The sequence below is a fragment of the Homo sapiens genome, chromosome 11, assembly GCF_000001405.40.
Source record: "Homo sapiens chromosome 11, GRCh38.p14 Primary Assembly".
Taxonomy (NCBI): Eukaryota; Metazoa; Chordata; class Mammalia; order Primates; family Hominidae; genus Homo; species Homo sapiens.
Window position 1 is genome coordinate 74,019,902 of NC_000011.10, and position 14,396 is coordinate 74,034,297.

Here is a 14,396-nt window from a genome sequence, read left to right on the forward strand (position 1 = left end):
AAAATCAGGCTTGCTGGCACCTCGATCCTTAGTGATGTCTGAAGTGCTGTGGTCTGGCTGAGTACAAGTGAGAACATCGGGTGGGAGTGGGTGGAAAACTCAAGGTTTTAAGGGTACCCTCATGCCTGGCCTTGTCTCATACTTTCTGCCTCCTACACTCACTCCTTATGAATAACAGTGTCTGGCCCGATGCCTGTGGTTAATCCAGGGGCCCATTCATGATGTGGGCAGAGCGTGGGCTTAACACAGGAAGGCACAGAGCAAGACAAGGCTCACCTCATGGTAAAGAAGTGCCATGTGGACAGGGCAGGGAGGCCAAGGCTCAGAAGACAGGCTGCTTCTTGTCCTTTGCTTCTAATTCCTATCTTGTTTCAGTCCAGGCCCATCTCTTCCCATTTCTGACCATGTCTCTAGCACACAGTGCTTGTACCTTCTGCTGTCCAACTTCTGTTGATTCTAAGGTTTCTTCTTTTCAAATCCACAGCATGAAAAGCCTTTCCTTTATCTTTGTTGAATTCAACTTAAGCCACCCCACATGGCTCTGTCTTTCTTTTCCTATACTCATTCCCTTTGCTTTACTTCAGTGCTAATATAGGCAAATGTCATTTGAGGAAATGAGTGGTTTGGAGTCCAGTGCGTTTCCAAGAACTGCGAGCTCCCTAAAGGCAGGGTCCACAGCATGAGGGTCCTAGCTCTTTCAGCATGACAGGCAGTTGGCAGGAGTTGGAGGAACTTAGATATAAGGCTGGCTCCCCAGGGAACTGTGAGTTCCCCGAGGGAAGCTCCTGTCTTCTGCACCTAGCTCAGGACTGTGGCTTTGCACATTTGTTAAAAGATGCAAATTTCAAGTCTGAGGTCAAAACTATCTTCCTACTTTCTGGCCTGCCTATCCTCAGGCCCAGCTCTAGTTCTCCTATTCAATGACGGGAAGTTATTGGAAGGTTCTGAGCAGAGAAGTCACATGATTGAGTTGATGACTGATTTAACGTCTTAAAAAGTTAACAGGATGCTGTATGGGGAATGGGTTGTGAGGAGCAAGGGAAGCAGCAGAAAGGCAAGTTAGGAGGTTACTGCAATAATCTAGGCCAGAAATAATGATGGTTGAGACCAGGGTGGTGAGAAGCACATTTCTGTATATTTTAAAGATAGAGCTGCCAGAATTTCCTGTTTAATTGAAAACTGGCATCAGGGAGGATTCCAAGAGTTTTGGTCTGAACAACTCAACTAGAGTCCCAGCTACTCAGGAGGCTGAGGCAGGAGATCACTTGAGCCCAGGAGTTTGCAGTGAGCCGAGATCATGCCACTGCACTCCAGTCTGGGCAACAGAGGGAGACCCTGTCTCAAAAAACAAACAAACAAACAAACAAACAAAAAACACCACCCCCCTCCAGAGTTCAGCTGTACCCTTTAATCGAAATTGAGAAGACTGAAGGGGAAATGGATTTGGGAATAAAATCTGGAGCTCAATTTTGGACATGTTAAATTTGAGACATCTATTAGATATTCAAGTGAAGATGCTGGGTAGGCAGTTGTAGAGTTACAGTTGTAGAGTTAGGTCTGGGCCAAGTTAACCATCGGGAGTCTTCAGCATATAGAAGAAGAAGTAGGGGAAATGAGGGAGACCCAGCAAACAAGGCAGAGCGGGAGCAGCCAGTGAGGGAGGAGAACCAAGAAGAAGTGATGCCTTAGAAATAAGTGAAGAAAGTGTTCAAAGGAGAGAGATCAACTGTGTCACATGCAATCAGGCACTGAGATTTGATAATTGACTTAGGAATATGGAAGTTTTTTGGGGTTTTGACAGGCTTAAAGAGTGTTCCCCCTGCCAGTGGTAAAGTGAGGTAAGATCTGATTAGAGTGTGATATTACACTGGCTACAGTGTGGAGAATAAATGGTGGTGGAAAAGTGCAAGTATAAGTGAGACTGGTTAGAAATAGTCGGGGGGGCTGGGCGCAGTGGCTTACGCTTGTAATCACAGCATTTTGGGAAGCTGAGGCGGGCAGATCACTTGAGGTCAGGAGTTCGAGACCAGCCTGGCCAACATGGTGAAACCCCATCTCTACTAAAAATACAAAAATTAGCTGGGCGTGATGGCACGCGCCTATAATCCCAGCTACTGGGGAGGCTGAGGCAGGAGAATTGCTTGCACTCGGGAGGCAGAGGTTGCAGTGAGCTGAGATCGCACCACCACACTCCGACCTGGGCAAGAGTGAGATTCCGTCTCGGGGAAAAAAAAAAGAAATAGTGGGGAGATGATTGGGCTAGACAGGGCAGGGTGAGAAGTAAGTGATTCAAAAGATGCTTAGGTGGCAGAATTAACAGGCCTTGGTGATGTGGATCTTGGCTGTGGGTCATGGGGGATAAAGGAGCAGGGGTGAGAGATACTTGTGCTTCTGGCAGGAGTAACTACATGGATGGTGGCTGAATTTCCTGAGATATGGATGCAGGTGGCAGAGGAAGTATGCAAAGGAAGATGACAAGCTCAAGTTTTGGACAGAGTGAATTGTTTGTGACACATCGGACAAGACGTCTAGGATGCAGGTGGGTCCGTACGTGTCTGCGGCATGAGAGAGAAGACTAGACTGAAGATAAGGATTTGAGAGTCATTCAAAGTCATATTTGAAGTCATCAGAGTGATTGAGATATTCCCAAGAGTGAAAATCTACAGAGCAGAAGACACAGTCTGAGGAAGACAACATGTAAAGCAAATTACTGCCGTTCTCATCGTCAACCTCTCTCCTCCCCTGTATGGAAGTTGATAAAACTAGTTTGTCCATCAGCAGCTGAGCAAGCAGAATCACAAAAAACTTTTAACAAAATCAGGAAGCTGTCCCAGTAAAGAGTTACTTCATCACAAGAGGGAAGAGAAAGCAGGGGCAGCGGAACTTGATTGATTTATAATGAATTTGGAACTGCAAATGGATCGCTGTGCTGCAGTCCTGCTAAACCAGCCATCGTTCTCACCCCTTTTCTTTTTGCAGAGGCGACAGCCAGAAGTTGAAGTAGCATGGGGTGGGAATTATGGGCTGGCCCCTATACTCTACCTGTGTGGCACTCGTTATTCTACAGTACAACCACCCTGTGAGGCCTGATAACCCCATTTGACAGATGAGAAAGCAGACTCAGAAAAGTCCAAAGATCTGACGAATGTCATACAGGCTCCTGTATCCACTCTACTGTGGGAGGAGGGAGGGGAAATCTGTTTCACAGATGCTTCCAGTGGAGACTGGGAGGTTCCTTGGCTCAGGTATATCATTTCAGTGTGGAGTGAAAGATCAGGTCTTGTCTTCGATCATGTGGGGAAACCAGGGCAATCAATCCAGCAATTACGAGCCCTCTCCTGTTTCAGGGATGGGCTGTTAGCCCTGACCCGGAAGCAGATCAGCTTTAGTATAGCAGTCCTAGGACAGTGGTTGAGAAGAGCCCTGCAGCCTCTCAAAGTGCTCCTCTTCAGTTGTGAGGGCCAAGGCTGGCCTTAGGAGGAGGCAGAAGAGGTGGAATTCTCAAATGTGGATACAGGACAGGGCTCCTGCCCTTGCCTCACTCCCTCTCACTTAGAGCTGCTGACTGTGCCTGAAGCATCACTGAGAAAACAGGAACTTCCATCAACTTGAAACCCTACCACCAATCTCTAATCCTGTCTGCTTTAGCACCCATCTTCTCTGCCTTCCTTCATGATATTGGGTGAGTTTTCTTTTTCCTCTCAAAAGGCCAATACCTCCATGTGTGCTCTAAATCCCACACCCTTTCTTTTCCCCCTCTCCTTTTTCTCTCCCACTCCTGTGTCTTCCCCTTCTCCCTTTCTCTATGGGATCATTGCATTAGCACATAGAAAGCTGCAGCCTTCCCATATTAAAAAACAAAAACAACCTCCCTTGGTCTCGCATGCCACTCCAGCCACTGTCCTATTTCTCTGCTCCATATTCACAGCCTAATTTGTGGAAGGAGTTGGTGTCTCCATCTTGTTATCATTCAATCACTGTATAATTTTAATGACATATGATTATGTGATTTCATACCAATGAATACCAATGAATCTATGTAACAACAGTAAATCATGAAGCACAAGAAAATGAACATCTGTAAACCCACAACCCAATCTAAGAATCGAAACATCTCTAATACTGTTGAACAGATCTTTATGTTCCTCCTCCCCTATCCCATTCCCCTGCTTCTATCCCATTCCCTACCTCCACAACTATGAACACTGTAATCAAACTGTTGAAAACTAGAGATAAAGAGAAAATCAAACAAGAAGTGAATAAAGGTCATGTTACATCCAGTGCAAGAACAATCAGAACAATGCTTCTTATAAGAAACAATGGAGGACAGAAGACAGTGGAAAGGTATCTCTAAAATGCTAAAAGAAACAACAAAAATTCAAGTTAGAATTCTATATCCAGTAGAAAAAAAATCTTTCAAAAATAAAGATATTTTCAGACAATTGAAGCTGGATAACCAGTTACCAGTAGGTCCACACTATGTGAAATTCCAAAGAAGTTTTTCAGGCTGAAGGGAAATGGTCCCAGCCAGAAATCAGGATGTGAAGAAGAAATGCAGAACAACAGCAATAGTAAGTATGTGGGTAAACAGAAAAGACTATTTTTGTCTCAAGTTCTTCAAAGTGAGGCCTTTTTAATAAAGGCCACAAGATGATGGTGCTCCTGCTCAAATAATATTTCAAAATTAAATCTAAAATAAGTATAAGAAAATCAGTTGATGTTGTGATTTATCCCATGGTAATGATTTCAATCTTTTTAAAAAATGTAATTCTTAAAAATGTTTTCCTCTTAAATTTTGGTATCTCTACTTGCTAGTGTCCTAAATACATACATGATCTTATTTCTTAGGCCATCCAGTGCTGGCTGGCAGCCAGCCAGGAGCGTAAGATTCTGAGAAAATGTGCTGCAATAACCCATCAAGTAGTGAGAGAGGCCCATCACTAGCCAGGATGACTAACCTCCCTGGGTTTCCTGGATCCTGGGTTCCAGTGCTAAAACTGCATCAGTTCTGGGCTAACCATGATGACTGGTCATCCGAACCAGGACCCAGAATAAGGTTCTAAGGACATAAGTGGCTCTGAGAGCAGCAAACAATGGAATGTTGTTAAGGGCAACAAAGAAAAAAGGCTGAAAAGTATTATCTTCTCAAAAGTAGACTTGCTCTTTAATTGAAGTAGAAATTCTTATTTCTCCCTCTCCCATACTTTGTATCTAGTATTTAATAGACCAAAGACATACATCAGGATACTTCTGGACTGGCCCCATTTTTCATTAATGTGGCCTCTGGGAAAGCATATAAAATGTATACATGTTAAAATCCAACTGGCTAGAAAAATGTACCATAAGTCAAATGTCATGATTTTCAGGTGGTGTAACAGAAGAGCATAGAGTTGTGAGTGCGAAGTTTAGATTCAGGCTGGGCGTGGTGGCTCACGCCTGTAATCCCAGCACTTTGGGAGGCTGAGGCAGGCGGATCACAAGGTCAAGAGATTGAGACCATCCTGGCCAACATGGTGAAACCCTGTCTGTCTACTAAAAATACAAAAATGCTCCTGGGAGTAAAAATATTTAGTATTTTTACTAAAAATACTAAAAATGCCCCTAGGAGTTGGCATATTTCAAAGGCAAAAACACAAAAGCAGGAACAGCAATTCTGCTTGGAAGGTGAGGGATGGCCATTCAAAGCGGCCCAGAGACCTTTCCTGTGGGGCATGACTCGCTGACAGTTCATCCAAGACTCAGAGAGGCCTGAAGGCTTGTCTAATGTCACACAGGGACTTGTATCCACTATACTGTGGGAGTAGGGAGGATACGAGGGCTGGAGGGAAAGGGAGCTAAGAGGGCCTGCTTTTTTCCTCTAGGGTAATTCTCACCATCATCCTATTAGGTATGAATTATTAGCCTGACATTACTTTTAAGGAAAGTGTGTCTCGGGAAGGTTGAGTCACTTGCCTAAGATCACTTACTAGCAGATTCAGTATTTCACTCCATGGATGTCTTGCTCCAAAGCCTGGACACAGCCCTATGACCCCAGCATAAATGTGATGGGTGTGTGTGGGAAATGCAAGGGAAAGCACAGAGAGGAAGGAGATGAGCTGGTGACCACAAACCGGAGTAGTAAGAAAGGCCACAAAACTGCAGATCTTCCTGGACAGGACTGACACTTCTCCTCCCCTACGAGAGGATTTACAAACCTGATAAAAACTGAGATGTAGCCTGGGCAACACAGTGAGACCCCGTCTCTAAGAAGAAAAAAATTAGCTGGTTGTGGTGGTGCACACCTGTGGTCCTAGCTACTCGAGAGGCTGAGGCAGAGGATCACTTGAACCCAGGAGTTTGCGGGTGCAGGGAGCTGTGATCACGCCACTGCACTCCAGTCTGGGCAACAGTGTGAGACCCTGTCTCAAGGAAAAAAAAAAACAACCAACAGAGATATGTGGGAACTTAAGATTAATTCCTGTGCCAAATAAAATGAGACATCTTGAAATGGTGCTGAGGAGGTTGGAAGAGGATGGGGAAAGGAAACTAGTAAGAGGATCAGGCATCTGATGCTTCTCTTTAGGATTGTATCCCAGGACTATAACTTTAGGACTACAACTCTCAGGATACTTCTGTACTGACCCCATTTTTCATTAATGTGGCCTCTGGGAAAGCATATAAAATGTATACATGTTAACTGCTAAGTAAAATCTAACTGGCTAGGAAAATGTACCATAAGTCAAATGTCATGATTTTCAGGTGGTGTAATAGAAGAACAGAGAGTTGTGAGTCAGAAGTTTAGATTCAGGCCGGGCGCAGTGGCTCACGCCTGTAATCCCAGCACTTTGGGAGGCTGAGGCAGGCAGATCATGAGGTCAAGAGATTGAGACCATCCTGGCCAACATGGTGAAACCCTGTCTCTACTAAAAATACAAAAAGTAGCTGGGCATGGTAGTGGTGCACGCCTATAGTCCCAGCTACTTGGGAGGCTGAGGCAGGAGAATTGCTTGAACCCGGGAGGCAGAGGTTGCAGTGAGCCGAGATCACACCACTACATTCCAGCTGGCGACAGAATAAGCCTCAAAAAAAAAAAAAAAAAAAAATTTAGATTCACTTACTGGTTGGGTGACCCTGGGTAAGTGACTCAGCCTTTAGGCATCTCAGTTTCTTTATATATACACAGAAATAATCATAGCTTGTAGGTCAGTATGTGAAGCTCTGAGCCTCAGTTTCCTCATTTATTTTTTATATAGTCTCGCTGTGTCATCCAGGCTGGAGTGCAGTGGCGCCATCTTAGCTTACTGCAACCTCCACCTCCTGGGCTCAAGCGATTTTTGTGACTCAGCCTCCCAAGTAGCAGGGACTATAGGCACGTGCCACCACGCCTGCCTAATTTTTGTAATTTTTAGTAGAGATGGGGTTTTGCCATGTTGGCCAGGCTGGTCTTGAACTTCCTAGCTCAAGTGATCCTGCCACCTTGTCCTCCCAAAGTGCTGGGATTACAGGTATGAGCCACCATGCCTGGCCTAGTTTCCTCATTTTAAATAGGCATAATGATAGTATATTCCTCATCAGATTGCTAAATTTAATTAGTTAATACAAAGTACTTGGAACAGTGCCTGGTACATGCTAAGCACCACCATAACTACCATCTTTAACACAGCCTCCTCAGAGAGACCCTGTTCTTTATCACAGCACCTGGTACTCATCTCATCAGTCTATAAATATTTTATTTTTTGCTCATTATTTGTGCTCCATGAAGATAGGGAATTTGTCTGTCTTATTTACTACTATATGCTCAGTATCCAGCATGACACCTGATACAGGGTAGGTACTCAAAAGCAGTTATTATTAAGCAGTTATTATTATTGTTTATTTTCTTGGTACTTGCAAGAAAGTTCAGGTGCTCTGCCAAGGCAGAAAAGAGGAGATGTGGGATTTGTACCAGAGTTCCAACCACCTACTTCAGCTGAATGAATAGTTATGAGGTGTTTTGTAAATGGCAAATAGTTGTACGACTGATATTATTCTCCTCATCCAGATCTTACTGTTGTACTCCCGTAAGGTTGCATCTCCGCTCCTATCTACCTGCTTGGTGGGGACTCCCACAGCACTCAATACACATTTCTTAGCTGCCTCTTGCTTTCATGCTTCTGCACAGCTTTTTTCTTCCCCATGTCAGTCTTGGCTGACAATGCCCTGCTCTTGCATATTTGCTCTTCCTCACTTTTCCTGAGCTCCCTGCCCACTGCTGGGCCCACAGAATATGCTCAGTACAAACTTGAGGAGTGACCCCTGCTGCAGCCTTTCCAGGAAGATGACCTGGGGCAGCTCTGCATTCTGTGCACACTTCTGTGGAAGAGATGATGACTCTATAGAAGAAAGGTCAGTTGGCCATTCTCTTACCTGATCTGTTGTGGCTGCTGGTGGCAAAGTTGCTGAGAGTGAAAGCATCCGCAGGGAAGCCTCCAACTGCTGGGGAGGCAAAAAGAAGTTGGGCACCACAATGGGCCCTGGGCTACAATGGTAGTTAAGGGACAAAAATACCTAGAAGTCCACCCCTCTTGCAGTGGAGGCCAGCATCTCCACTGACCATTCACTCTGCCCCCACTCATGTTTTTCCCTCAACTATTCTTGTCCATAAATTCTTTGCTCAGCTGGCTCCCTCTGACTGGAAGGCTTGCCCACTCCTAACACATATAAGTTTTTTATGGATCAGTTCAAATCCGGCCTCCTCTAGGAAGCTTTCTCTTAATCTTAGCCCCACAGTGATCCCTCCTTCCTCACATCCTAGAGCAGTCTGCAACACAGGAGAATGCTTAATTATTTAGTCTGATATGATTATTTTCCTCAATCTTCCCTAAATTTCTCAATGGCACAGACAGTTTCCTTCTGTTACCTCTACTTCCTGAAAGCCCCTCAGGAGGCTGGCAGGTAGCAGGCGTTGAATGATTCTTGCCTAAGGGCCTGCTAGTTAGAAAAAGACCTATTAGAAGTCAGTCAGGGGATGTGGGGATTGGGATGTGGCTCCAGGGGGCAGTGCCTTAGGCTGCATTTAGGTGCCCTGCACTGAAGGAGGGCCTGCTTGCCTATTTTCTCTGCTCACATTCAGAAATGAGAGCTCTGCATCAGGGGCTGTCCATGACGGGACATGTCCTCATGTCAGGGACCAGTACAGCTGGTCCAATCTGGATGTGAGCCCTAGAAGGCAGGTACTGTTATCTTGCACTTCTCCTCCGTATCTTCTTGAGGTGCTCAGTGCTGTGTTGAGAATATGGTGTTCTACAGGTATTTTTTGAATCAAATCACTGATTCAGTTTAGTTGAACTCTGAAGGGGGTAAAGAGGGGACTATTTTGATGTTCCAATTTTTTGTTTCTGTTTAATAAGTATGGTTCTCACTCCAATTTGCTTACCACATTTCCTATTTTATCGTCGTTCTTCTACATTAGACTCTAAACTTCAAGAAGGCAGAGATGATCTGTCTTTCATAACCATATTCCTGTCACCTAGCATAGTACCTGGGAGACAGTAAGTACTCAATAAATATCTTGTGAATGAATGAAATGCATTGATTTCTTGCTTTGGTTCAAGTCCCTGATTTTTCTGTAGAGAGGTGGGGGAGGAATGGAGATCCCGAAGGGAAAGACCCTTTGACTCCAGGCCTTCTGCAGAGGCCCAGGTGAGGTAGGATCTATTTGCTGTTGCTGAAACTGCTGGGGACTGCCAGACAGCCAGCTGATGCTGTGGGGAAGAAAGAACTTTGCTGTGAGGTGTCAGGGCTGGCTCTGAAGCATGGAAGTCTCTTTCCCAGCCCATTGCCTCATGTGTGCTTTAGGGTCCTGCTCCAACAGGCACTTTCTCCCACCAACTTTTATTTTGTTATGTTTTTTGAAACAGGGTCTCACTCCCATTGTTCAGGCTGGAGTGCAGTGGCGTGATCATGGCACACTGCAGCCTTGACCTTCTGGGCTCAGGTAATTCTTCCACTTCAGCCTGCAGAGTAGCTGGGATTACAGGCACATGCCACCATGCCTGGCTAATTTTTGTATTTTTAGTAGAGATGGAATTTTGCCATGTTACCCAGGCTGGTCTTGAACTCCTGACCTCAAGTGATCCTCCCACCTTGGCCTCCCAAAATGCTGGGATTACAGGTGTGAACCACTATGTCTGGCCTCATGAACTTTAAATTCCTGTTCCTCAGTTCATAAAAATGTTCAAGTTTCCCATTTAGGGAAACAAACAAACAACCCCCTGACCTTGCATTGTCTTCTAGTTACCACCCAGCTCTCTGTCACTTACTAGATGGATAACTTCAGGAAAGTTCACTTTTTGTGCCGCAATTTCTCCATTTTTAAATGTATTAGTACTTATTGTTTTAAGGATTAAATGAATTTATATATGTAAAGTGCCTAGAATGGTGCCTCGATAAATGTCAGCTATTCTTATCTCCTCAGTTTATGTGAAAAAGTTGTCTGTTCTCACTGTCCTCACCATTAGCTGCTTTGACTAATGAAGTCTGGCTTCCATTCCCACCACTGTAAGGTCCTCCTTAACACTAAAACCAGTGATACATGTCAGCCACATTCTCCCGGACCTGTGTGCAGCGTCAGTGCTGACCACGACGTCCTGAAACTCTGCAGCATCTGCTCCTACGGCACCTCTCTCTCCGCTGCTTCTCCCACCTCCTGACCAGCTCTCCTCATCTCCTTTGTGGGCATGCCCTGTCCTGCTTCTCTTTGCACACTGGAGATGCTCAGAGTCTGCCTCTGTGTGTTTGGTTCCCCCTTCCCAGGCTCTTCTTGCTGCCCTCATCGACTCCCAGAGATGCCTACCTTTATGGCTGAGCTCAGCCCTCAACTTCACTCCTCCTGCATCTCCTCCTGGATGTCCTACAGGCACATGCCCCAAACGGCAATCTGCATCGTCTCCCAAACCTGTCTATGTGCTGTTTCCTATCCAGTAAATGATATCACCTGCCGGGTAACTTGTGACAGAAACCTCTAATTACACTTTCTATTTCCTTTGTCTCATCCCCTGCCCCTCTATCTAATCCTCTCAGATCTGTTCCCCTCGTCTTCATCATAAAGCAGTCTATACTTCAGGTCAGACTTTCTTCATCTCTTGTTATTATTGCAAGTGTCCTAACTAGCCTCCTTGTTTCTAGTCTTCCCTTACTTAACCTGCTCTCTACAAGGCACTGGGTGACTTCTTTTCTCATATGTACATCTGACCATACCACACTCTTGCTTAACAGTGAACACTATTCATGTACCAGGTATTGTGCTAGGCAGTTTACATGATTATTTTCATTTTCATTTTCACAACAACCCAGTAAGTACTATTATCACCTCCATTTTACAGATGAGGAAAGTGAAGTTTCTTTGCTTTAGAATAGAGTCCAAGTACCTCAGCCAGGTATAGAAGTCCTTTAAGATCCAGGCCTTGCCTCACCTCGCACCATCCCCTCATCCCTGGACTCTAGCCACAGTGAACTACTGCCCACAGGCAGCCTCCTTCACCCAGCGAGGCCTCTGCACACACAGTTTGTCCTGACTAGAACTTTTCCTTGTCTCTATTGCACAATGCCTATTCATCTTTAAGGCCTGGCTCTCCTGTCTCTCTTACTGGGATGGCTCCAAGTAGAGTTAGGGCAGCTCCCTCCTCATGGTCCCTCGCGTTCTGTCCACATCTCATCACAGTACTTGGCACAATAAACTGTCAGTATCTATCTACTTGACTGTCTCCTATCTCATAATGGGAACTTCTCGAGGTAAGGTCTCATTCAAATCTGTCCTTGGCACCCAGCACAGGGCCTGGCACGATTTATTTTTGAAAGAATAGTCAGGAAGGCCTAAGTTAAAGCAGCACTTAGGGTCTGGGCACATGTGGCATCTCCTCCATCGGCCATATTCTGAGCACAATTAATACTGACTGCAAAGGCAGCAACATTAGGGGCCAGGATCCAGGATGGGCAAGGCCAGGGAGAACTGCACACAAGGAGGTCTATTTTCAAAGCTCAGCCTCCAGCCATTGCATGCTTTAATCCTTTCCTGAGCCCACTCTCCCACCCCTAGGTTTTTCTCTGATCTGCATCAAGAATCATACTGTGTGGTGTGTACAAATGTTTCCACTCATTTGGTTTTCTCAACAATGTTGTGAAACTGTGATAGTTCAATCCAATCTACATTTACCAATCCCTTCTCTGTGTAGTGCTAGGTCCTGAGGATGCAGAAAAAGACAAGGTCCCTGACCTGGGGAGCTTATAATTTGGTGGGTAAGGGATTTCCGCCTCCATTTTACAGGTGAAGAAACGTGCACATAAAGATTAAACTATATGTCTATAATCACAAAAATAATTTTGTGGGTCTAGAAGGGTCAAAGTCAGGCTCCCTGACTTCTAGTAGAGGAAGATCTCTAGTCTAGTAAAGCAGCCTGCTTCACCTGCCAGCCGTACAATATTCCCTGCTTGTTGGGATAGCAGGTGAGCTGATCTGATCAGCTGGTTAGGCTACAGGTGTGAAGGCTGTAGATGGTCCTAAGTGGTTTCCTTTCCCCATAACATGCCAGTCTGTGTTTAAAAGGAAGGAGTGGGGAATGTCAGGTGCCCCCTGTTCCCATCAACAGTACCTTACTGGGGACTTGGGAAAGTCCATCTCCATGGTGCCTGTTTAGCTCCATCACTTCCTTTTTTAAAAAAATTTAATCTGGCCAGGCGTGGTGGCTCAAATGCTCTAACTGCAGCATTTTGGGAGGGTGAGGCAGGAGGATTGCTTGAGGCCAGGAGTTTGAGACCAGCCTGGGTGACACAGCAAGACCCCAACTCTTAAAAAAAATTAGCTGGGTGTGATGCTGCATACCTGTAGTTCTAGCTACTTGCAAGGCTGAGGTGGGAGGATCACCTGAGTATAAGAATCTGAGGCTGCAGTGAGGTATGGTAATAACCTTGTACTCCAGCTTGGGTGACAGAATAACCTGTCTCTTAAAAAAAAAAAAAGGCAAGTCACAATAACTGAGCATCAGTTTCCTTATATATGCAAAATAGGGATGATACCTACCTAAAAGACTTGTGATGACTGAATGAAAAATGTACATAAAGTGCTCAATGGCAGTGATTTTCTTTCCTCTTTCTCTAGACCCTCTGCTTCTCTTTCAACTGATAAATAGTCTCATTCCTTAGATCCCAAGCCTTGCCTTCAGGTGGTAAAATACCCAACAGATGAATTGGATAAATCAGGGTAGGCTAGGCTAATGTGCTACGAATGCCTAAACCCAGTTCAAGGCATTATGTTTCTGAGGGCTGGTGTTAATGGTAAAACTGTAGCACCTGTCATGCAGGTGGGGTCTTCTGAAGGAATGGTCTTTCCATGCCCCCTAGTGCATTCCATGAGGGTGGCCACTTGCTCACACTCACACTAGGCTAGTCTAAGTACCTGCATCCAAACCACTTGTGGGAAATGCCAAAGGATACAGCAGGAGGCTCTGCTTTGTGGACGTCTCTGATCCAGTTGTCACCTGCCTCTGCCTGATGTCAGAGGAGTCGATGGGTGGTCCCTTATGGTTTTCCCTTCTGCTCTGGGAGGCTAGATTTAGCGGCAACTTCTTGAAGCTATCAGCAGAGTCACCGAGCTCACTGGTGGCAGCTTCATTCTCAGCTGGGGCCTCTGACTTGGGCTCCTTGTTCTGATCTGTCTGTGGTGAGCTCCATCCAACAAACGTGCTGCTCTGTTGAGCTCCTGAGAGTGTTGGGCATGGGATGGGCTGAGGGTTGGCTGAGGCAGACTCGCCACCAACCCTGGCCTTAGAGGCCTCACACTCACAAGCAACAAGACTTTGGCTAGGAGAACCCTGCCTAGGCAGGTGGGGGTTGACAGCCCTTTCTGGGCTGGAGAGAAAGCTACTTTTGACCATAAGCTCCTCTCTGCAGAAAGGCCCTGGAGAAGGACAAGAGGGGCCTTCCCTCTGCACCTCGTCAGGCTGAGGGCTGATGACCTCACTTGTGTCTGATATGACACTAGACCAAGGGCTAGTTTTGTCTGTCACCGTGGTGATCTCATTTAAGGTCCTGGGCTCAATGATGTCTTCTTCATAGTCCTCATCACTGTAGGCTGGGCCTGCCTCAGTGTCTTCACTGCTCTGCATCCTTGTAATGGGTACTGCATGCCTCAGGGACTCATGGAGCATTCTTCCTCCATTTGAAGTCTCTTCGAGAGGAGGGGGTGATGGGGAATCTGTGCCTTTATCTGGAGCTCTTACCAATGGCTCATCTGGCATTGTGCATCGTTCTTGCAGTGCTTCTGTGTCCTGAGCATCTGGGAGGGTGGTGGCCTTGTTGCTTCTACTCCTGGCTCGGTGAGAACTCAAAGCTGCTTGCGAATCCCTGGTGATAGTCTGCAGATCTGAACAGCAACACATATC

At 45.8% G+C, this 14,396-nt stretch overlaps 1 protein-coding gene across 1 annotated transcript in view; it reads right to left on the reverse strand.

Moving 5' to 3' along the window:
• Positions 1-14,396, reverse strand: part of C2CD3 (C2 domain containing 3 centriole elongation regulator) — a 158,285-nt gene that overhangs the window by 7,184 nt on the left and 136,705 nt on the right. Inside the window, exons 31-32 of the mRNA NM_001286577.2 lie at positions 13,450-14,377; positions 8,386-8,497 (exon numbers count right to left, since the gene is read on the reverse strand). Coding sequence (NP_001273506.1) covers positions 8,386-8,497; positions 13,450-14,377 — 1,040 coding nt within the window. The remainder of the gene's footprint in view (positions 1-8,385; positions 8,498-13,449; positions 14,378-14,396) is intronic.